The sequence below is a fragment of the Homo sapiens genome, chromosome 5 (assembly GCF_000001405.40).
Source record: "Homo sapiens chromosome 5, GRCh38.p14 Primary Assembly".
Classification (NCBI taxonomy): domain Eukaryota; kingdom Metazoa; phylum Chordata; class Mammalia; order Primates; family Hominidae; genus Homo; species Homo sapiens.
In genome coordinates, this window is record NC_000005.10 from 146751538 (window position 1) to 146774206 (window position 22669).

Consider the following 22669-nt stretch of genomic DNA (forward strand, 5'->3'; position numbering starts at 1 on the left):
ATTCTTTCATTTATTCTTCTGTTTATTCAAGAACTGTTGATTGAATAGAAATAAATATTCTAGGTATTGGGAATACAACAGTGAACAAAGTCAACTCAGTTCTTACCCTCATGGAGTTTACATTCTAATGGAGGAGGAAGACACACATAGATAATATCCTGCCTTGTGTGATGAGTTCTATGAAGAAATATTAAACAGAGTTAAGTCATAGGGAATAATGGTGATTGCCCCCAGAGGGTGGGGGCAGGTCTTCTGGTGAACATATGAGAAGAACTTGAATGAAGTGATGGAGCACAACACAAAAGCACATGGGCTTTTCCAGAAAGAGAAAACTACAAGTGCAAAGAGCCTGACGCAGGAGCACATTTGGCCTATTTGTGGGTAGCAAGAAGGGGAGTGTGCTAGGGCAGAAGAGTGGCAGGAAATGGGGGTAGGGAGGAGGCCAGATCATGTGAAACTGCAGGCCTTGGTTAGCACTGTGGCTTTTACCCTCAGTGTAAGGAGGAGCCACAGAGACATGATTTGACTTACAGAGAACAGATGGTGGATAGAAATCTGTTACAAGTTTATTAGAAAAGTCCAAGTGAGAGATGGTGGCAGCTTGGACTAGTGTGGTAGCAGTGAGGGTGGGGAGAGGCTGATCAGCTTGAGACGCTGTCAAGGTAGAGATACTGTAGGGTTGCCTTGCACTTGCCTTGGAGTATGAGAGGAAGGAGTCAAGGATGACTCCAGGGGTTTTGTTCTGAGTGATACATTTATTGAGATGAAAAAAAGCAGTGCCTGTAACATCACAATGTTGGCTCCTTATCATGATTCAGGTCTCCATCGAATGTCTTCTCTTTGGAGACATCTTCCCTGACCACCCCTCATCCTATCAGTGCTGCTCATTTTATTTCTCAGAACTTAACACATATCTGAAATTATCTTATTCATTTTATTTGACTCATTTATCATCCGGATTCCCCACTGAAATGCAAGACCTAAGAGAATAAGTGCCATGTCTGCTTAGTTTATTGCAATATCTTTAGTACCTAATTCAGTGCCTGGATCTTGAAATAAGATCAGTAAAAGTTTGCTGAATGAGGTTTGCAATGTGTGAGATAAGTTAAGTCCCCAGGTTTTTGGGGTGTGTGTGTGTAGTTCTTTTCAGAGCAATCAGTTAATGGATTAAATAGTATTGATTATCTGTGGCAGGCACTGTGCCAGGCTCTGGGAAAACAAAAATGAGCAGAAAAAAAGCATTGCCTGCAGCCTCATGGAGCTTCCAGCAGCCTGGCAGAGCCATAGTAAATAATCTCACCAACAGACTTTCACTGTGCTAAAAACTCTGAAGGAAAGACACATGGAGGTATGAAAGTGTATTATCTGGGGATCTGATCACTTCGGGGAACACAGGTGAAACTTCTCTGAGCTGAGATCCACAGGAGAAGCCACTGTGGGCCTCAGGGATCTCTGAGAAGCATAGATGCTGTGGCTATGACTTCAAATTTTTCATGGAGCTTCTTGTGGAAAGAAACACATTTTGGCAAAAGCAGAACTAGTACAACCTTCTCAAGCACTGGGGCTTAGCTGGGTTCAGAACCTGGATAAGATGAGCAGCTGCTCCATGACAGAACTAGGGTTTTGTATTTATCATGACACATGTGGGTAAAAAGGGAATGCTACCTACTTAACAGGGCTGCTATGAGAAGGAAAAGTTATTGTCCATGAAATGCTTAGCACAGTGTCTGGTACACAAGAAGTGCAAAATACTTGGTAATAATTATCATCAGACTTCAAATTTGTGAGGGTATAATGTGAATACTCTCCCACACACAGAGAATAGACAGTATAGAACCTTACACAGAGCAGGACCTCAATAAGTTTGTATTGAATAAATAAGTGCTGGTTGCCTTGGTGACACACCATTTTGAATCTGACCAAACATTTTCACCAAAGATGGACACAGTAAATAAGTAGAAATGAACTAGGCCAGTTCCTTTTGTCAGCTGTCTCAGGACTGGTAGCTGACATTAATTATTGATATTACAGGGAGGGAGATTCTTGCCAGCCAAGGACACTTGGCAGCTTGAATGTAAGGAATTCGGTCTGATGCTCGGTTTTAAACTAAAGATAAGTGAGAAGTGGGAGGACCCAGAGGATTCGATGATTTTATGCATCAATAATACTTGCCATAGGAAGGCTCAGCCAGAGTCCGGGAATAGCTGCTACTGAAATGGCATTTTCCTTTTCATTGAAATCCACATGCTTGATTTGTGCATGTGACTTCTCAGCTGCTACCATAATAGAGGAAGTGGTTTTGAATTAACACTAATCAACCTGAATCTCCAGGGGCAACTTGTACCTGAAAACCTCCAAGTCCTTTGTAAACAGCAGTTAAGCTTCCCTGTCTCCTGAGGGATGAGCTTCTGGATTTTTGCTTAAATCAAGCAGAATTGTAGGAAAGAGGTTGCAATTATGAGCAAAGTGGGTGTCAGACAGGATAATTTCTCATCATAAATCCAGGCTTGAAAAGGGCCAAAAATAATCTGAAAGTCCCCAAGATATTTTGCCCACCAAAGTTCTGCCACAAGCCCCCGCCACGTGTCAGATGAAGGATGATTGGAAATTACAACAGCCGTTCTGGAGGGCAATTTAGCCATAACTGTTATAATAAGCAGACCCTTCAACTCAGCAATTCTGCATCAATGCATTTTTACTAGAGAAATCCTGGCACATGTGCTGAGGAGTAAGCAAGTACCCCCATTGCTGTGTCATCTGCAGAAGTGAAAGTCTGGGAGCGATCTCGAGGTGTACTCATCAGGAGGAGAATGATTAAATAGGTAGTGGAATAGCATGCAGCAACTAAAGAGAATGAAGTTGACCCCCATGTATTGTCATGGAAAACTAAGATTGTTAAGCGAAAAAAGCAAATTTGCAGAAGCATATGTGCACTATGCCATATGTAGTGGTTTTAAAATACATACAGAAGTTCTTCGATACTCTTTCCCTTATGAGATGCAGCTTAATTCGCCTCCACTTGAGTTTGGGCCAGACTTAGTAATTCATTTCTAGTGGACAGAATATGGCATAAATGACAAGGTGCCACTTCCAAGACTAGGTAATAAAAAGGTATTGTGGCTTCCTTCTTGATCTCTCTCTTTCATTCTTTTACTCTCCCATCACTCACTCTAGAGGATGCCAACTACTGTGTTTTAAGGACACTCCAGGAACCCTGTGGAGAAGCCCATGTGGCAGCCTCCTGTCAATAGCCAGTGATGGACAGAAGACTCCAGGCAACAGCTGTGTTGGTGAGCCATGATGGAAGCACTTCCTCCAGTCCCAGTCAAGCTTCCAAATGACTGTAGTCCTGGCTTAGACCCTGACTACAACTTCAGGAGAGATCATGAACTAGAACCCCCCAGAGCTTAGTGCCCTTGGATTGCTCACTCTCAGAAAGTGTGAGAGATAGTAAATATTTGTTATTTCAAGTCACTGTTCATGGCAGCAATTGACAACAATACACCGTTTATATAAACATAAATTTTTAAATAACTTAACAATACACACATGGAGACAAATGTTTAGAGAAAGGTTTGGCAGGAGATGTGCCATAGTGATGAAGGGGTTACCTCTGAGAAGTGGAGAGGAGAGGGATGGAGGGTGGGGATAAGATTAGCTTCACCTGTTGTGTCTCTATTTTTGTTATACATGCATTCATACATGCATTACTGACATAATTTTAGAAAGCACTAAAAGGGAAGAAATACAATGTAAAATTCTACTACTTTGGAATTTCATGGCAAGTCAGATAAAGCTGAGGTTTACCTTTGATCACCTTCAAGTAAAAGGGTTGCTTAGCAAACTCATTTAATAATAAACAAGGTTATCAGCGGAGCTCTCCAACCTACTTAAGAAAGCCAACTCCTGTCAGTTACTCTTAAAAATCACCTTAGCATAAGTCATATATAATAAATGATCATTTTTACTCATGTTTCTTATCTATTATTAAAGCAGGTCAAAGAGACCTTTCTTTGGACAACACCAATTGGCAATATTTGTATTCCCAAAGAGCATCCAAATTATTTTGAAAATGACAAAGATAAGCTCTACTGAAAAAGCCAAGTTATATATTAATGCACTGTGGTTTCATCAAATGGTTTAAAATCAAAGAGGTTTTGTTGTCAGGTAAGGTTATGGAAAAGGTATTTTAAAAGTAAACTTTGTATTGGATTTCTTTTAGGCTTGTGCTAATTTGTTTTTCAACTTCGAGCCTGGGGGTCTGCATCATTTAATAGCAGTTCCAAGGCAAGGACCCTGATCCTCGTCTGTGGCTAGACTGGCTGCAGGCACCAAAGCTTATGCATTTTCAGTGGAATTGGGTCCAGAGCTTAGCTGCAAAATGCCTTCTGGGTGACTGACCAGAAATTCAATCACAGCACATTCATTTCAAAAATCCCTTTCATGTATCATTTAAAAGCAGCCTGCATACTTACATTTGCATATCTCTGACCCTGGATTTTGGAAATGCAGGAGAAGAATGGATTGCTGTTTAATTTTCAGGATGATGGGAAGGAACAAACCAGAGGCATTTCCTTCTCTTGACTACTGAGTAGATTTAGTACTTCTGAAAGATTCTGAATCAGTAGTTTTGTAACATAAGCCGCTGTTCCATAGAGCTTGGGAATAAGAATAACTAACATTTATAGGGCATTTTATACCCTACAAAGTGGGTTACCATTCATTGCCTCATTTAATGGGCAGAGGGGCTCTTAATTATCCTTTCTGATGAGGGGACAATGATTCTTTCAATCCCAGCATCTGCAGAGATTACTCTGGTTTTCCTTTCATATGGACACACTAAAGAAATAATGATACTGCATGCTAGCTTCCTCAGCCTGGGAAAGAATACACTACGGCAGATGTGAGGTTTCTTCATTTTCCCCATGCTGCAGTGTGTATTCCAAGTTTCTTTCGATTAACTGAAAAGTATATGTGAATCTTTTCTGCAGGAAGACAGGAAAGTTAAAAGGTAGCCTCTGGGATGCCTGGGTTTGAATCCTAGCTCTGTCATTTTCTGGCTGCAAAGTCTTAAGCAAATTATTTTTCTGTTAGATATTTAAAACCCTTTAACTTATCAGTTTTCTTATCTGAAAAATGGGGCTGATAATAATAGTACCAGCATCACATGGTTTCCATGAGAATTAAATGAGTGAATTCATGTCGTGTACTTAAAAGAATGCCTGATGCATAGTCAACATTCAGTGACTGTTGTTTGTATGTGCAGTGAGCTGCATTTTAGGCTGGATGGGTAACAAGGCACATCCACCATTCATTCAATTACTGCACAGCTCTCTGCCAGGCAGGCTGAAGCTCCAAGGATATGTCAAATGTGGTTCCTCTCCTTGCAACACTTACATTCTGGTGGAGGAGGCAGACAAATTAAGATTAAGGAGGGTAGACAATGGAGAGTGGAGCTAGAGAATGAAGCTCTGAGTGAGAGTGGGGTTTTCTTGTTTTTAGGATGTGAAAGGCCAGCCTTTCAAAACACATGGGGAAGAACAGTCCTGGTGGAGGGAAGATCAGGAGTGAGGGCTTGAAGGAGGAGAGAGCATGGCAAGTGTGAGGAACTGACAGGCAATGGAATTGGGGGCTGAGTGGAGAGGGAGGGAGGTAGGCAGGTTGCCCAGGCCATGGTGGAATGTGACAGTTTTGTGCTGTGTACAAAGGGAAGCCACAGAAGGTTTAGAAGTAGAGCGGGAACATGGTTTTATATAAATTTATGACATTTAGTGAAAACTTTATATAATGGTATCACATATAAATATCTATTGCATACACATATTTAAAGATAGTACTGGCTGCCATGTAGGGTGAGGATTGTGGAACGGAGGGACCACAGTAGGAACACAAAAATAGAAGAAAGAGACACATACCAGCAGAGAACTACAACTGCTTTGGAGTTTAAAGGAAAATGGGTGGAAGGCGAGAGATGGAAGCCCCATTTGAGGTGACTTTGAAGAGGACATTGTTTTGGACATGCAGGGGTGTCTGGAAAACATAGATGGCCTCACTAGTTGCTATGTGTCTTGCACAGAGGACATAGGGGTCTTCCCTGGAGTGTCCCAAATTTAATATATGGATCTCTGAAATCTGTACAAACATGCGATATGGGGGAAGGAAAGAATACAAGAATATTGCTTGTATCCCAAATCACACTGGTACTTAGACTATCCTGTGGAACCAAACTGCAAGAAAGTTCCAGAAATAACCAGTGACTTGATCTGCATCCAAGTGGAACCCTTTGCCCTGACATCACCTTGGCTTTTGAAGGCCAAGAAAACCTACAGGGTTTAAACTTCCATTTTCCACAAAGCTTTGAGGCCAAGCGGAACTCTTCCATGCACCTTGAAGGCTTGGTCGCCTGAAATGAAGCTGAGTAGACATAAGGAGATGTCCAAAGGAAAACAACCAAGGAAGGACATGAAACCTCTCAGCTACTCAGACCTGTCCAGATATGGAGCTTGGCATTGTGATGCTATTCCTCAGTTGATTTTGCTCACATTATGGTTCTGTTTATGTGATATTCTTTGTGACAGGCCACCCCTTCCTCTCAACATTAACATCAGTGATGTCTGCTTTCTCTGGAGTTACTCATACAAGCATTCTCCTTGGCTTAGAGATTTACAAATGATAGATAACCAAAATTTCAATGATTGCCCCAAAGGCTCAATCTGTAGCAGCAAAAGCAACAGGTGAACTAGCACCAGAGGAGCTAGGTTTCAGTCTCAGCTCTACCATGAAACAGCTTTGTGATCTGGGGCAAGAACCCTCATTCTTTGAATTTCTCTTTCCTCTTGGCTAAAAGTTACCAACATTACCTCAAAGGCTTGTTATGAGGATTCATTATGACATCTGTCCAAGTATTTTATTAAATTAATAAAATACAAATACGGCACTATCATGATGAAATAACAGCAAATGTTTACATGACATTTAAAAATATTTAAATATTTTCACGAGCTATATTTCATTAGCCAATTCACTAATGAATGAGTTCCCCATTAAGTTGGCTCCATGAGACGCCACAAACTTTGTCTGATTTTTCCCCATCCTGAATCCTTAGCATCTAAAGAAGTACCAGTACCTAGTAGGAGCTTAATACCTACGGGTCAAATGAAAGAAAGGAAGAATGAACAGAAACCACTCTGGGGAATGGAAGGACACTGGTTTGCAGAAGACAGAGAATATCTTCTGTAGGTCATAGGAATAATCCTGAGCAACAGAAAAATTTAGTTATCCTACAAACTAAAATTTCACAGCTACATTTATGATAGCACAGGCCCTAATCCTGTCTCTACAGACCCCTAGGTTTTTTTACTTCCAATCCCTGCCCTCTCTTACATGGAATTTTTTTTTTCCCAAATGGAATTAAAACCTAATACTTTCCTAATGCAGTCTTTCAGTTCTCTTCTTAAGCCATCTGCTCTTTTATCTACAAAAACTTACTTATTTTATTTGAAAACTTTTAATTAGATGCTTCCAGGCAGTGGCTGAGTTAAGTTTAGAAGCTTCAAGCTTGTCTCATACTCAGCAGCTGCAGTAAGGAAATAAGGCTTATGATTTAAATTCATTATTATCTCCATGTTGATGTCATTTTTCTCCCTTGCTATTGCATTGTTCCAGGAAGTTACATAAGGCTTAAGAACCACCAGACTAATAATATTGCTTCTTAGAAATGACCTTTCAGGGAATTTTCCTTATGTGATCAGATGCTGGTAAAGCTATGATAATAAGTAATATACTTCCCCTCTACCTCACCTTTTATCTGAAGATTACTGAAAGCTTTGCAAACATTAATTAAGCCAACCTCATAACACTCAGGGAAAAAGGAATTATCCATCGCAGAAAACTAAAACTGAGTTTAAAGGCACATTACTGACATGTTTAGAGTCAGCCAATCAGCAACAGAATTCTGATTGTTCTGTCCCCACCTTCACCCCCACCTCCCCTGTGGGCTTAAGAAACTCTTACTTATCCTCCAAGACTCTGCTCAGGCATCACCTCTAGAAAGCTCTCCTTGCCTCCACCTTCCAAGTTGAATTAGGTGCATCCCTTCCTGTTGCACTCTCAACATCCTCTGCAGGTATCTTCATCTATACACACCCTATTCTTCATAATAACATATATTAATGAAGTGTCCATATGGGTGGGTCTGACTGGCAAATCCATTTCTTCCCTTTTTTTTTTTTTCATTTGTGACGGAGGGTATAAGAACAGGAAGTGCTGGTATCATAATTATTTTGAATCTATATTAATTTATATAAAAGAGCAAAACATTTGTCAACTCCAGTGCTTTAGTTGTTGTTAGTAGTTATTGTGATGTCTTACAGTTATATGATGTGCCAATAGTGTATTACAATATCATATTTGTGCCTTCCCATCCTATGACACAACTCTGAAGACAGTGAGAGCATCTGATAATCTTAAATAACTTTTGGGTAACAAGAAAGGTGTGTTTGTTTAGAAGCTAAATCTGCTTCCTATATTATGTAAAAATTAAATGATAATTGCATACAAAGCATTTAGCACAGCATGTAACACACAGTAAACACGAATAAATTCAGCTGTTGTGTAATAACATCAATAATTACTATTTATTGAGTGCATATTATGTGTTAGGAACTATGCCAAGTGCTTTATATGTACCCTCTTAATATTCCTGGCAACCCTATAAGGTATTGCTTTAATCTCTATTTTGCAGATGAAGGAACTGAAGTATATGGAATTTTTATAATTTTCACTGCATAGCTAGTAAGTAGAAAATTAAGCTTGTCTGCCTCCAGAGTTCAGCAAACTATACTGCCTCTATTTAAGCAAACAAGCAGCATTTATTAAGTGTCTTTGTGGCCACCATGTGCTATTATGGGATGAAATGAACTCTCTGCTCTCCAGCAACTCATACTCTTGCTGGAAAAGACAGGCAAGATACCCAAGTGGAAGATGTGAGGTGATAAGACTGTATGTGATGAATTATCAAACTAAACAATTTAAAGCAAATATGCTCTAGATTTAAAGGAGGAAGAGACTGAGGAGCTGCAAGTCAGAAGAGACCTCAGAAGTTAAGGTGCACCTGGAATTATTAGTATGGTCTGCATGCTCTGCTGTGATTTTGTGGGTGAGGGATGCATTGGAAATACCTGGCTGAGGGGAGGGGTGCTTTTTCAAACTTCACTCTCACCCACCCTTGACTCGCATAGTTGAAAAATTGCTGTTGAAGTTTACCAGGGGTATTGAAGAAAATATTTGAGGGTTGTCCCATCAAAAAGTGGGCAAAGGATATGAACAGACAGTTCTCAAAGAAGACATTTATGCAGCCAAAAAACACATGAAAAAATGCTCATCATCACTGGCCATCAGAGAAATGCAAATCAAAACCACAATGAGATACCATCTCACACCAGTTAGAATAGCGATCATTAAAAAGTCAGGAAACAACAGGTGCTGGAGAGGTTGTGGAGAAATAGGAACACTTTTGCACTGTTGGTGGGACTGTAAACTAGGTCAACCATTGTGGAAGTCAGTGTGGCGATTCCTCAGGGATCTAGAACTAGAAATACCATTTGACCCAGCCATCCCATTACTGGATATATACCCAAAGGATTATAAATCATGCTGCTATAAAGACACATGCACATGTATGTTTATTGCGGCACTGCTCACAACAGCAAAGACTTGGAACCAACCCAAATGTCCAACAACGATAGACTGGATTAAGAAAATGTGGCACATATACACCATGGAATACTATGCAGCCATAAAAAATGATGAGTTCATGTCCTTTGTAGGGACATGGATGAAGCTGGAAACCATCATTCTCAGCAAACTATCACAAGGACAAAAATCCAAACACCACAAGTTTTCACTCATAGGTGGGAATTGAACAATGAGAACACATGGACACAGGAAGGGGAACATCACACACTGGGGACTGTTGTGGGGTGTGGGAAGTGGGGGGTGCAGCACACCAACATGGCACATGTATACATATGTAACAAACCTGCACGTTGTGCACATGTACCCTAAAACTTAAAGTATAGTAATAATAAAATTTAAAAAAAAAAAAGAAAATATTTGAGGGTTGTAACTGTCTGGATTTTGTAGTCAGATTGCCTGAGCTGAAATTTTGGCCATGTCTCATTTCTTTTTTAACCTCAGTTTTCTGATCAATAAGATGGAAAATAATAATTACAGTATGAGGAGATGTTTGTAAAACACCTAGCATGGTGCCTGGTGTGTAACATGTTTAATGTGTGATAATTTAGTAATGTTTCCCTGGCTTGATGAGGGATAAAAAAAGATGGGACTCACTAATCTAGGATGTTTGTCAGATAGCAAACCGCATTGAGCTCTCTGCAGAGTGTATGTGGGAATGATGGCAGAGAAGGGCTGTAGGAGGAGCTGACAAGCACTACATTTCCAATCTGTCTTGGGACCTAAACCTTCCAGCCTGAAGACATCTTAGCATCTTAGCCTGACAGTATTTCTTAAACAGCTCTGACTCCAAATGGCCACTCAAACATAATGGAATGATATGATTTCATACAACATGCTCTTGGGACTGGTAGAATTCCTTTAATGGACAAAATGTTAAAGAAAAAAGTTACTGATATTGGCTAAAACAAAAGAACAGTTTACTGCAGAATATAGAATAATCTTTCATAGATTTTAGGAAGCAACAATAAGCAGTTATGAACAACGTGGACTCAATGGGAAGACTACACTTGAATTCACTCACTTCAGCATTCTCTGAAGGCATCAGTTTCCCCATCTATTAAATGGAGAAGAAAATAGTACCGAAAGCTGCACAGAAGGCAGTTATGAGGATTAAATGAGATAGTGAATATAAAACACATAACACAGTTCCAGGCATACAGTCAGCACTCAGTTCTGTTCACTACTCTTTCTATTCAAGGTGCTGTGCTAAGATTTTGGGTAATAGAGATGAAAAATATCTAAGCATTCTCACAACAGTTTTTAGTAGTTATTTCTTACATATCTACATACTCTTTGGGAACAGATTTCTGGTCTAATCCATTCTATTCATCTCCATATATCCAGAGTCAGGCACAGAACTTGAAGTACAGTCTGTGCTTAACAGTTGTGACTTGAATAAATAAATAGGGATGCACGGCACCCAACCATCATGCTTAAGAAACTCATAGGAATGAAGACAGGCACCTAGACAAGTAATTATAATGCAGTGTAATTGTTGTGGTCAAGAGGCTGTGGATTCATAGAAGGCCTGGGCGACTAGCATCATTGTCCTGGAAGCAAACCAGACCAAGTCCAGGTCTGCCCTGCTTCAGGCTGGTAGGTAATAAGGAACATGTGTGGAATATCACCAACATCTGACTACGGTCACTTTGAGTTCTCTAGTTGAGCCTCTGTCATTTGGCTAATGTGCCCCGCACATCAGTGGAGTGACCTGTGACCCGCCTGGCTCCAAGAGCAGCTCTGTGAGCCTGTTTTGCTAGATTTCTGCCTGGAGCACTTGGCCATAACAAAGTGGAGAGGAGAGAAATCAATAACAACCTGAACTGAACGCACAGTTAAAACATCAGCCTTCAACTCTGGAATCACACCCTTGTCACTGGCATCCAAAGTGCTTTTGCTCCACGACCTGCTCAGGGTCTAGTAAGCAAACATGAAGGAGGAAATGGAAATAGCTCCAGGGCACAGACAGGGAAATGTGCTATTTGATAAACGGGAACCCACCAAGGGACAGCTTCCTAGCGTATAGGATAGAAATAACGCAGCTGGTTCAAATGCTGGTTGAGGATCTTCCGGTATGTTTCTCAACCTCTCTGAGCCTCTGGTTTCTTGTTTGGAAAGGATGATGATGATGATAATCTTACCCAAGAGTGGTATGACTCTTTTGGCAATTCAGTAAGCATTAATGCATGTGACATACCCAACACACGAACTGACTCTTGGCTGGTGCTCAATAAATGGTAGCTTATTACAACTGCTTTTCTGCTGCTCATAAGGAGGTAAGCAAGACCAAATGCAGTGAAAATAATTTATTAGCCACAGAAATAAAAGCTACAGCAATTTAGGTTTCCCACAGTTCTGTTAAAAGAATGCTTACCAAGCACCTGTCATGTGCCACCTGCTATGTTAAGGACTGGGACCCAAAAATGAGTTAAGACAAGGACCCTTCTTTCCAAAGGTCTTGCTCTGTCTCTCAGGCTGGAATGCACTGGTGCTATCATGGCTCACTGCAACTTTGACTTTATGGACTCAAGTGATCCTACTGTCTCAGCCTCCCAAGTAGGTGGGACTACAGGCATGTGCTACCATGCCTGGCTAATTTTTATATTTTATTTTTTGTAGAGGGGGGTCTCACTATATTGCACAGGCTAGTCTTGAACTTCTGCCCTCAAACTATCTTCTTGCCTTGGCCTCCCAAAGTGCTGGGATTACAGGTGTGAGCCACTGATCCTGGCAACAATTTTAATATAATTATTAAAAGGAATTTCACAGAAAAGAGAAACGTACAGGTGGCAGAACACACAGAGAGGGGCAACCAGCTCAACACAGAGAAGATGGAAGCTGGTTTGAGTCTGAAGGACTTCATGGAGCCAGCCCCATGACGGAAAGTGGAAGGGGCACTCCAGCTGTGGGCTGTAGGGACCTGAGTCTGGAGGGGGGTGGGCAGGCACCAGATGACAAAAGCCTTGTGGGCCCACTTTTGAAGGAATTTACCCTGAGAAGCCAGGAGCCACTGAAGATTTTTAAGTAGGAACAGATTTACATTTGGATATATCACTTTGGCTTTAGGGTGGAATGAAAGTTATTATTTCGCAGGAGTATTTAGGGCGCTATTTCTTCATTCCTTTCCAACTCAAGCAAATACACAAGTCTATTGCCTCTTCTGGATGGCTCAAGTCAGTAATTATACAACCAAACATAACTTTTGGACCCAGAATCATTCCCCTAATGGATAAAATGTTTTAAGCAGGCATCTCTCAGCTCTCATGCTCCATTTCCCCAGAGTCCTTATCCCTTGATCACATACTTGTCTACTTCTGCTGCACCTGCAAGAGTGAGTTCATTACTCTCCATTATACATCTCCATTCAGTCATAGGCAACCTCAGTGGGAATGTCACAGGTCCCAGGCCTTTTGGTGGCTGCTACAGTTAAGATAATTTAAGTCCTTCTAATCTCAAGAGGTGATCTTGCTAGCCAAGAGATGTCTCTTTATGGAACATCTCTATCCCGAGAGAGAGAGAGAGAGAGAGAGAGAGATACACGCACACACACACGCACACGCACACGTACTCTGCCCCATCTAAACCATCCTAGTGGATCTTCCTAGTTATTGCCAAAATATTAAGCTACTTGAATCATATGTCATTGCAGTACAATTAAGAATTTAATTATCCTCAGGTATAAAAAGAGTTAATAAGGCCAATAATTAAACTCTTGGTAGAAAACACATAGAGGTTTCAGAAGAATAAGTAGATTTTGTTAAAAGTGTGTCATACATACTATTTTATGACAAATGTATCTTCTTTTTTAAGTTCCAAATCAGTGAAGATTTCTTATATGCTATAGAAAATGTGATATCAAATTTTAAAAGGTTGCTTGGAAACACAGATGTAAATAATAACTATATTTCACATTCATACATTATAAGATGTAGTTTTCATATGATATCTGAATGCTTTCACATCCCTTAGCTAGACTGAGCACAGGAAATCCACGTCTAGGCAGTGTGTGTTTTCACACCTTGTACTAGGGTAATTTTCAGAGTCATTACCATTCTGGTAAGAAAGTTTCATAAGGGCTTTAACAACATATGAGAAATAAGGAAAATCTATCTCTTTTTCCTTATTCCTCTGAGCCTCAAAGTTAAGCCTGCATTTGAAGAACAGTGCCCAGAACATGGAAGGAGCAACATAAACCACATATTATGAGAAGTGGCCAAAACCCTTTGTGTTAGCATCTGACTTATTATTGGTAACATCTAAATTGCCACTCTAAATTATAAATAGTTAAACTGTGCGCAATGTGAAATAATCAAGACCATGCTTTGTTTCTTAACATCTACTACACTGGCTCAAATACTTTTATCCAGATTCTTCCAACATGACACACATTACATTTAGAACTTGGTTTTCTCATCAGATTTGTAGAGAAGATAGTTAATGCATATTTCACACCACAGGAAGTGATTGGGGTAAACTTAATATCATAGGAGCTTTTGGATTTAGACAAAGAAACCCATTAGTTTTCTCAAACAGCCATCAGAGAGACTTTAATTAAGTCACCCTGACACACGTATGCCTTCACTGGATCACGATTTCTCATGCTGGTAACTTTCAAGCCCGGAAAATAGTCACTTTGGGAAAGTGTTTAGACTGGTTGTTTTGGACAGAACTTTTTAGACTCTCCATTTATTATCATCTGGTGATTAAAGAATTAAGATGGTGATACCTAAACATGTTCTTTTAAAGGAAAATAAGTATCATTAAATCATTAATAATTATTTGAGGAAAAAGGAGCCAATGGCATCTCTTGAAAAGCCCTCATTATACTTTCTGTAATGTGCTCCTAGCTTAAATGCAGAAAGATGTCTTTGCTAACTTTAACAGCTCATGAAAAGTTACTGTACCACATACTTAGTAGTCTTTGATGTATTTTGCTGATGATAAAGAATCAAATTCCATTCTTCCCACAAAAATTTATTCCAGTATTTTTAGGTTTAAAAAAGATGTCTGGGAAAAAAAAGAGAAAATGTCTCTAAATTAGCATTTGAGATGAATTACCATTTTCCAGAGATATCACTCCCTACAATATTCCACCCCAAATAAACCGGAGGAAGAACTGTGGCTAAATGCCTAAGCCAGGAGTGAGTGGGGAGTGGGAAAAGGCTCCAGGCAGGTGAAAAGAACCAAGTTAAAGTCTGACCAAGACTGAGGTAAAAAACACATAATTCCTTCTGATAACACAGCAGCCATTATTATAGCTAGTGTTGTGCTCAGTACTTTCCCTGAGTAATTTCACTAATCCTTGTAAGTACTTCATGAGGTGATTTCTATTATTTATACTTTCAAATGAGAAAACAGGCTCAGAGAGGTTAAGTTCTCAAAGTCTCACAGACAGCAAGTTCTTGTCTTAGCTTCTGGAACAGTGAATGCTACCACAACACCGTGGGCCCTACGGCACCATAAAAAAGCTTGGCAGAAGGTGGGGCACGGTGGCTCATGTCTGTAATCCTAGCACTTTGGGAGGCCAAGGCGGGAGAATCACTTGAGGTCAGGAGTTCAAGACCAGCCTGGCCAATATGGTGAAACCCCGTCTCTACTAAAAATACAAAAATTGGCCAGGTGAGGTGGCGCATGCCTGTTGTCCCAGCTACTTGGGAGGCTGAGGCAGGAGAATCACTTGAACCTGGGAGGCAGAGGTTGCAGTGAGCCGAGACCACACCATTGCACTCCAGCCTGGGCATAGAAGTGTCTCAAAAAAAAAAAAAAAAAAAAAAAAAAAGGCTCAGCAGAGACAGTAACAGCACAGAATATCTTAGGTAGCATTAGTTTCTCCTTGCATATATCCAGACTTCACTAAATGTTTAGGCCAAGAAGAAAATCACAAAACAGGAATACTTGAGAATATATAAAAGTGGCTCATATCCTTCAAAATTTGAACCCCGAGGCCCACCCCTTGTCTCCTGTTTGGGGAGTCCAAAGAATTCACAGACACATCAGTCATTTAGTCTGTAAGCAAATTTCATTTAATTCATACTTTGCCTGGGGTTAGCAGTCCATGGTCAGAAATGCTCCTGGTACCATATTCCTAAGACTGTCACTGACTCTGCAGCTGGTTCTTCCGTGGTATAGAGTGAATCTTTCAGTAGGAAGTGTTTCTAACAAGTTCCCATGCTGCTGAAGCCAACACAAGGCAAGAAGCTTTGAAATGGCTGATGTTTAAATTATGACTCCAATACACACATACATACACACACACACACACACCTATATATATATATTTAGTAGACTTTTTTAGAGCAGTTTTAAGTTCACAGAAAAATTGAGTACAAGCTATAGAGATTTCCCATACACTCCCTGCTTCCACACATGCACAGCCTCCCCATTATCAACAACCTCCACCACAGTGGTTCATTTGTTGCAATCGATGAACCTCTGTTGACACATCATTATCACCCAAAGTCCATAGTTTACATTAGGGTTCACTCTTCGCATTGCACATTCCAGGGTTTGGACAAATGTAGCATGACACGTATCTACCACTATAGAATCATATACAGTAGTTCCACCACCCTAAAAATGATCTGTGCCTAACCTATTCACTCCTCCCTCTCCCCAAACCCTGGCAACTGCTGATCTTTTGACTGTCTCTATAGCTTTTTCCAGAGCCATATATTTTTTAAAACAATTACCTGAGGTCCTCTGGGGAAAAATATCTTATTAGAGATTCACAATAAGCATTGTCATTTGAAAGGATCTGAAAACTCTAGCAGTTAACAATTGGTTTTCTTTTTTTTTTTTGAAACAGGGTCTTACTCCGTCACCCAGGTTGGAGTGCAGTGGCACACTCACAGCTCACTACAGTCTCCACCTCCCAGGCTCAAGCAATCCTCCCACCCCAGCCTCCCGAGTAGCTGGGACTACAGGTGCATGCCACCATACCCAGCTAATTTTTTTATTTTTTGTAGAGACAGTGTTTCGCTATGTTGCCCAGGCTGGTCTTGAACTCCTGAACTCAAACAATCCATCTGCCCTGGACTCCCAAAGTCCCAAAGAGCCACCATGCAAGTCCTAAGAACTGGTTGTAATTTTGTTGTAGCCAATGCTTCCCAAGAAATTCCTGGGGGTGAAATGGTTAACAGTTTTATTCCCTCCTCTTCTCACTATCTCCACTGTCACTCCCCAGCTCAGACCAACCTCATCTCTCACTGTCCACTGTCATGGCCTCCAAATCTGGTCTCTCCATTCACCTCCTGCTTATTTTGCATCCTTTTTCCTCTTAACACAGAGTGATCTCTTTAGAATATAAACTGGCTTTCCACTGCATTAAGGTAAAATCCAAACTTCTTCCCATGATCTATAAGGTCCCATACCATCTGACGCTGGGCCCACACCATCTGACATTGGGCCCACATCTCCAACTTTGACTATTATTTTCTTCCTCATTAACTGCAAGTCTCACTGGCCTCCTCCCAGCTCTTTCCTGTTCCTGGAGATTTGCTGTCGCATCTGCCTAGTGTTTCTGAGACTTTTTACAGCTCTTAATCCTTCAGGTGTCAGCTTAACTATCTTATCGTCAGGCAAAGATTTGTTGTTACTTTTTTTTTTTTTTGAGACAGTCTCTCACTCTGCCTCTCACTGAGGCTGAGGCTGAATTGCTCACTTTAACCTCTGCTTCTCAGGTTCAAGTGATTCTCCTGCCTCAGCCTCCCAAGTAGGTGGGAAAGCAGGTATGTGCCACCATGCCTGGCTAATTTTTGTATTTTTAGTAGAGGCAGGGTTTTGCCATGTTGGCCAGGCTGGTCTTGAACTCCTGGCCTCAAGCAATCTGCCTGCCACAGCCTCCCAAAGTGCTGGGATTACAGGCCAGGCAAAGCTTTTGTAACCACCTAAAGCACAGCCTTCTCCCTTGCCCTTCTCGATGTTACTCCCTATCACAGTAGTTTTCAAAATGTGGTCCTGAAACCAACAGCATCAGGAACATCTGGGAACTTGTTAGGAATGCAAGTTCTCAGGCCCCACCCTAGACCTGCTGAATCAGAAACTCTGGGGTGTGGCAAATCCATGTGTATTAGCGAGCCCTTCAGGTGATTCTGATACAGGCTAAAGTTTGCGCAGTTCTATGGCAGTATCCTGTTTATTTCCTACATGTTTATCGTAAACTATAATCGTTTCTTCTTATTATTTAATGCATTTAGCTTTTCTCACTAGATTTGCAAGCACTGTAAGGATCAGCAATCATTGTTGAGGTACAAGACAATATCTGAGGCTGATTAATATTTGCTGAATGAATGAATGACACGGAACATATCTTGGAAAATACTGCTTTACATAGGATCTATATTAGCTTATGGCTAAACTTCAATTGCCGTGAACCACCTTACCAATATTTCTTTCCATTCATTTATTCAACATTTATTGACATTTGTAATATGCTAGGCACTATCCCAAATGCTATAAATACAAACACGAGCAAGTCCTTGTTCTGAAAGAACTTATAGACAAGTGAGATAAAAACAGGTAAATACACAATTATTTTATTCTGATAAGTGTTATTATAAGGCCTAGAAAAACCTACCAAAAGCATTAAAAATACACATGTACTTGTCTTTGACCTAGTTATTCTAGTTCTAAAAATTAATTCTAAAAAAAACCCAGGGATGCATACACAGATTTATCAAAACGATGTTTGTCAGCATTATTTATACTAGCAAAAAAAATCAGAAATAACCTAAATGTAAAAGAATGGAGAATTTGGCTGGGTGTAGTGGCTCATGCCTGTAATCCTAGCATTTTGGGAGGCCGAGGCAGGCAGATCACTTGAGGTCAGCAGTTCGAGACCAGCCTGGCCAACACTGTGAAACCCCGTCTCTACTAAAAATACAAAAATTAGCCAGACTTGGTAGTGCACACCTGTAATCCTAGATACTCGGGAGAGGCTGAGGCAGGAGAATCATTTGAACCAGGCAGGCGGAGGTTGCAGTAAGCCAAGATCACACCACTGCACTCCAGAGTGGGTGACAGAGTGAGATTCCGTCTCAAAAAAAAAAAAAAAAAAAAAAAAAGAATGAAGAATTCAAAAATTATCCTAGACATAGGCCAGAACACTAAAAAATTATTGCAATTAAAAAGAATCCTTAATGATGTGAAATTGTTCACAATATACTACTAAGTAAGAAACTATATAATATAGTTTTTAATTCTATATAAAAATAAATGTATTGGGAAAATGTATTAAAAATGTTAACAGAAATTACTAGGTGTTATGATAACAGGTAATTTAACGTTTCTACTTTTATGCTTCTCTTTATTTCCAAATGTTTTGCAATGCACTATGATACTAAGAGAAAAATGTTAAGGGCAACAAGTCAGAGTTGAGGGAGCAAGTAAATCTGCTATGTGGGTTGGGAGGTATCATCACACAGGAGGTGTCGTCTGAGTTGGGACTTGAGAATGCATGGGAGCTGTTATCAGGAAGAGTTGTCAGTAAAGCAGGATTCAGGGAAGTGCTGAGTGCCTTTGGGGGCCAAGAAATAGCTCAATGAGGCTCAAGCAGTTGCAGAGGGGATTTGCAGCTCTCCACCAAATTTAGTTTACAGAGAACAACCTATTTACTTTCTCAAAAGAAAACAAAGTTTCATATGGACAGTGACATTCTTTTTTAATAAAAATCAGAATTTACCTATGCATGATGGGCCATCCATGCTCTACCAGGCGCATTTTGAAAAGCCACAGACAGCTTTCCTGCTGCATAAAGAATAATACAAATAAATAGAAATTATAACGTTTCACTTTGGCTGATTATGAGATAACATCAGATGGGAGAAGGAGGAGGATATATCTTTATATCTTAGACCCAAAGCTCCCAGTGCCAGAATTCTAGAAGCAGGCCTAATCCCATGGTCTGGCTCTCATCAGTGGCCAAGAAGACTGAATGAGCAGTGAAATACCTCTTTGATGCTTGTTCATCACTCAGCACCAGCACAGAAATTTCAAAGGCCATGTTAAGTGACTTGACAATCTGGAGACAGATGATAAAGTCTCAGCTTCTGATCACTAAACACAATAAATCCCTTGCGAACAGGTGCTACTAATTTTTTTTAAAAAGATCCATCTTGTGCTGTCAGTCATTTTCAGATCAACTACAAGTGAGCCTGTTGACCTGAGGTATACTCAGATTGGGCTAAAATTCAGTAAAATATGAGTTTTGAGAAGGGTACATGTGATTTAAATAGATGGGATTGCCCCAGAGATGCCTTCCATAAGAGTTACAAACTCAAGTGTCAATAGAGCAGTGGCAGATGATGAGCTGTCTACCAATATCAGTCCTGCCCTTCTTGAACAATAAGAAAGTTTTAGCTGGGCACATGATTAGGTAGAACATTTGCTAGCTTCTCTTGCTATGACAGACATGTGAGAAACTCTCCAAACAATTTTTCTATTTTTCTTCGGTATATAGCTAATCTGTGTTTCCCAATCCCCTACTGCAGTTAAAAGAGGGCATGTGACTAATTTCTAGCCAATGCAATGTGGGTGGGGATGAGATACCCAATATCCTGGCCCATAAAAAGTATTCCATGCTCTTTTCACTTGCAGGAGAAGAGAAAGGAATCCACAAACCTAGAGGAGATCAGAATGTGTGTACCTTCAGAGATACAAATTCTATTTCAAAAAAGCCACCTTACTGAAACACTTGCACATGTACACAGAGAATCATTTTCATGGGTGTTCGTTGCAGCATTGCTTATACTAGCAGAAAATTGGAAACAACCTGAATTACATCTACAGGAAAATGGTAAAGCAAATTCTGGAATATCCATACTAAAAAACATAATGCAACCTTTAAAAAGGTTCTATATGGGCTATCATGGAAAGATCTCCAAGACCTATTGCTGATCATAAAAGCAAGCTGCAGGATAATTTATCCCCTAAAACAGCAAACATTTATAGATGATTTATATGTCAGGTACTGTTTAGGGAGTGGGGATAAAGTAGTGAACCACAGACAAAAATCCTTGCCTATATAAAACTTATGAGCACGTAGAATGTATATTTTAACATCCTAAAATTATATATTAGTTAATAACTTGTGCATATATATATATATATATATATATATATATATATATATATATATATATACTTATTTCTAAATACAGAGAGAAGATCCAGAATGAGACCCACCAAATTGTTCATGGTGGTAATCTCTAGAGAGGGGAGTGGGGTCAAAGAGGGGATAACAACTTCTTTGTCTATATTCTTCTGTGTTTCCATGTTTATAGGAATGCATTTGTGAATTTGAATTCTTTTTAGTGGAATGCATTCCACTAATGCAACCAAAAAAACTGCTCTTCAGGGGCCTAGCCATGGAACTCCTCAAGGGCCACCACCATAGAAGGATGAACAATGTGTCCATTTTCCTCAACTGGTGTCTTCATCTGCTTTATTTATTTATGCCCATAAGTGAGGTTTCTTTTGATCAAAGGTTTCTGTGGCCACAAACGTTTAAGAACAGCCAACATTGCTCATAATCAGAAAATTAAAATACACAAAGGAATATGGATAGAAATCTCACTTGGGCATAACACTAGACTAATCCCATATCATTTAAGGGTTTTGATTGTCTAGCTCTTTTGTTACTAAGGCTCCTCTGCCTGTAAAGGACAAGACTTAAGCTTTTCAGATGTCAAATAGCACTCAATAAACATCACAAATGAGTTCTGATGTGGAAAATGCATTCTCAAATAGAAGAGTTTTTGTTTTATTTTAAAATTGTGTTAGCACCTAAAAGACCCCTGTAATAGTGAAGATAAAGTTAATCCAGTAATGCATTTACCATAGTAAACCTCCAGAACAGAAACACATTACTTCCCTCTGATGGAATTTTAAATCAGCGTAAGGGATTAAACAGTATTATCCAGCTGATGGAGAGCAACTTGGAAATTATGGGAAATGGCCATACTGCACAGCCGTTTGCATTCCAGGAATTCCGTTTGGACCTTCCATGATTAATATGTCTGATATAATTCTGGGGAGCTGGTGTCTTTTCTCCTTTGACTTTTTCATTTCATCTTTTCAAAAGGCTTGCACAAAGCAGAGCCAGGCTTCATGCTCTTCTTTCAGACTGTGGTTTATTATGATCTAGATTTGAATTAAAGCAGTGGAAATGGCCTCACAATTCTACAACTCCACTTTTAGTATTTGGTTGAAACAGAATGCATTCTCCATTGTATTAGCACATGCACAAAATAATGAATTATGGCCTATCTACAAAAATAAACATTGTCTGACAGATTATAGGGTGAGTGGATTGGATGATACAGAGCCTGAAGGTAATCAAAGTTCATTCCTTCTTTTGCCACCTTCCCTTTCAGCTTGCTTTCCTGAGCAGCAGGGTTTGAGAATTCTCTTTTTTTCTGCATGTTTAAATTAAGGCACAACTCAACAGCTATTTCAGATAAAATAGTCTCCCAATTTATCCATCTTTTCCTGAAATATTTTTACCGTAGAGGCCAATTTTAATTGCCATGAGTTTTTTGTTTAATGTGAATTATTTATATAATTAATCTGTTTTTCTTAGCACTTATTGACAGCCTACCTTCACAGACCATCTCTTCTCCCAAATACCTCATCCTTGTTTCTCCTATCTGTAAACATTCCCACTGCAACCCGTCGTAATAGGTAATGTCAGCCACAGAAGGAAATAAAATATCTTAGTATCCATAAGCAAAACAAGAGAGAAAACTGTATATTTTGTAGGCTTGGTGAATTCTGTGGACTTATAAGCCTTGGACTAATCCTAATCAAAATTAAATCTTTCTTTGATTTTCCTGGATACTCTAACTTGATGAATGACTTAACTGCTTTGTGTTTTAGTTTTCTGAAAATTGATAGGATAAGATGATAATACCTAACT

The 22669-nt window shown here is 39.8% G+C and overlaps 1 protein-coding gene and 1 long non-coding RNA gene across 11 annotated transcripts in view; both read right to left on the reverse strand.

Moving 5' to 3' along the window:
* PPP2R2B (protein phosphatase 2 regulatory subunit Bbeta) overlaps positions 1-22669 on the reverse strand; it is a 500779-nt gene that overhangs the window by 170796 nt on the left and 307314 nt on the right. The window lies entirely within an intron of this gene.
* Positions 805-18538, reverse strand: LOC107986461 (uncharacterized). The gene is made up of 2 exons (XR_001742922.2): positions 15791-18538; positions 805-14763 (listed from the first exon to the last, which is right to left on the reverse strand). It is a non-coding gene; the product is annotated as an uncharacterized LOC107986461 (long non-coding RNA).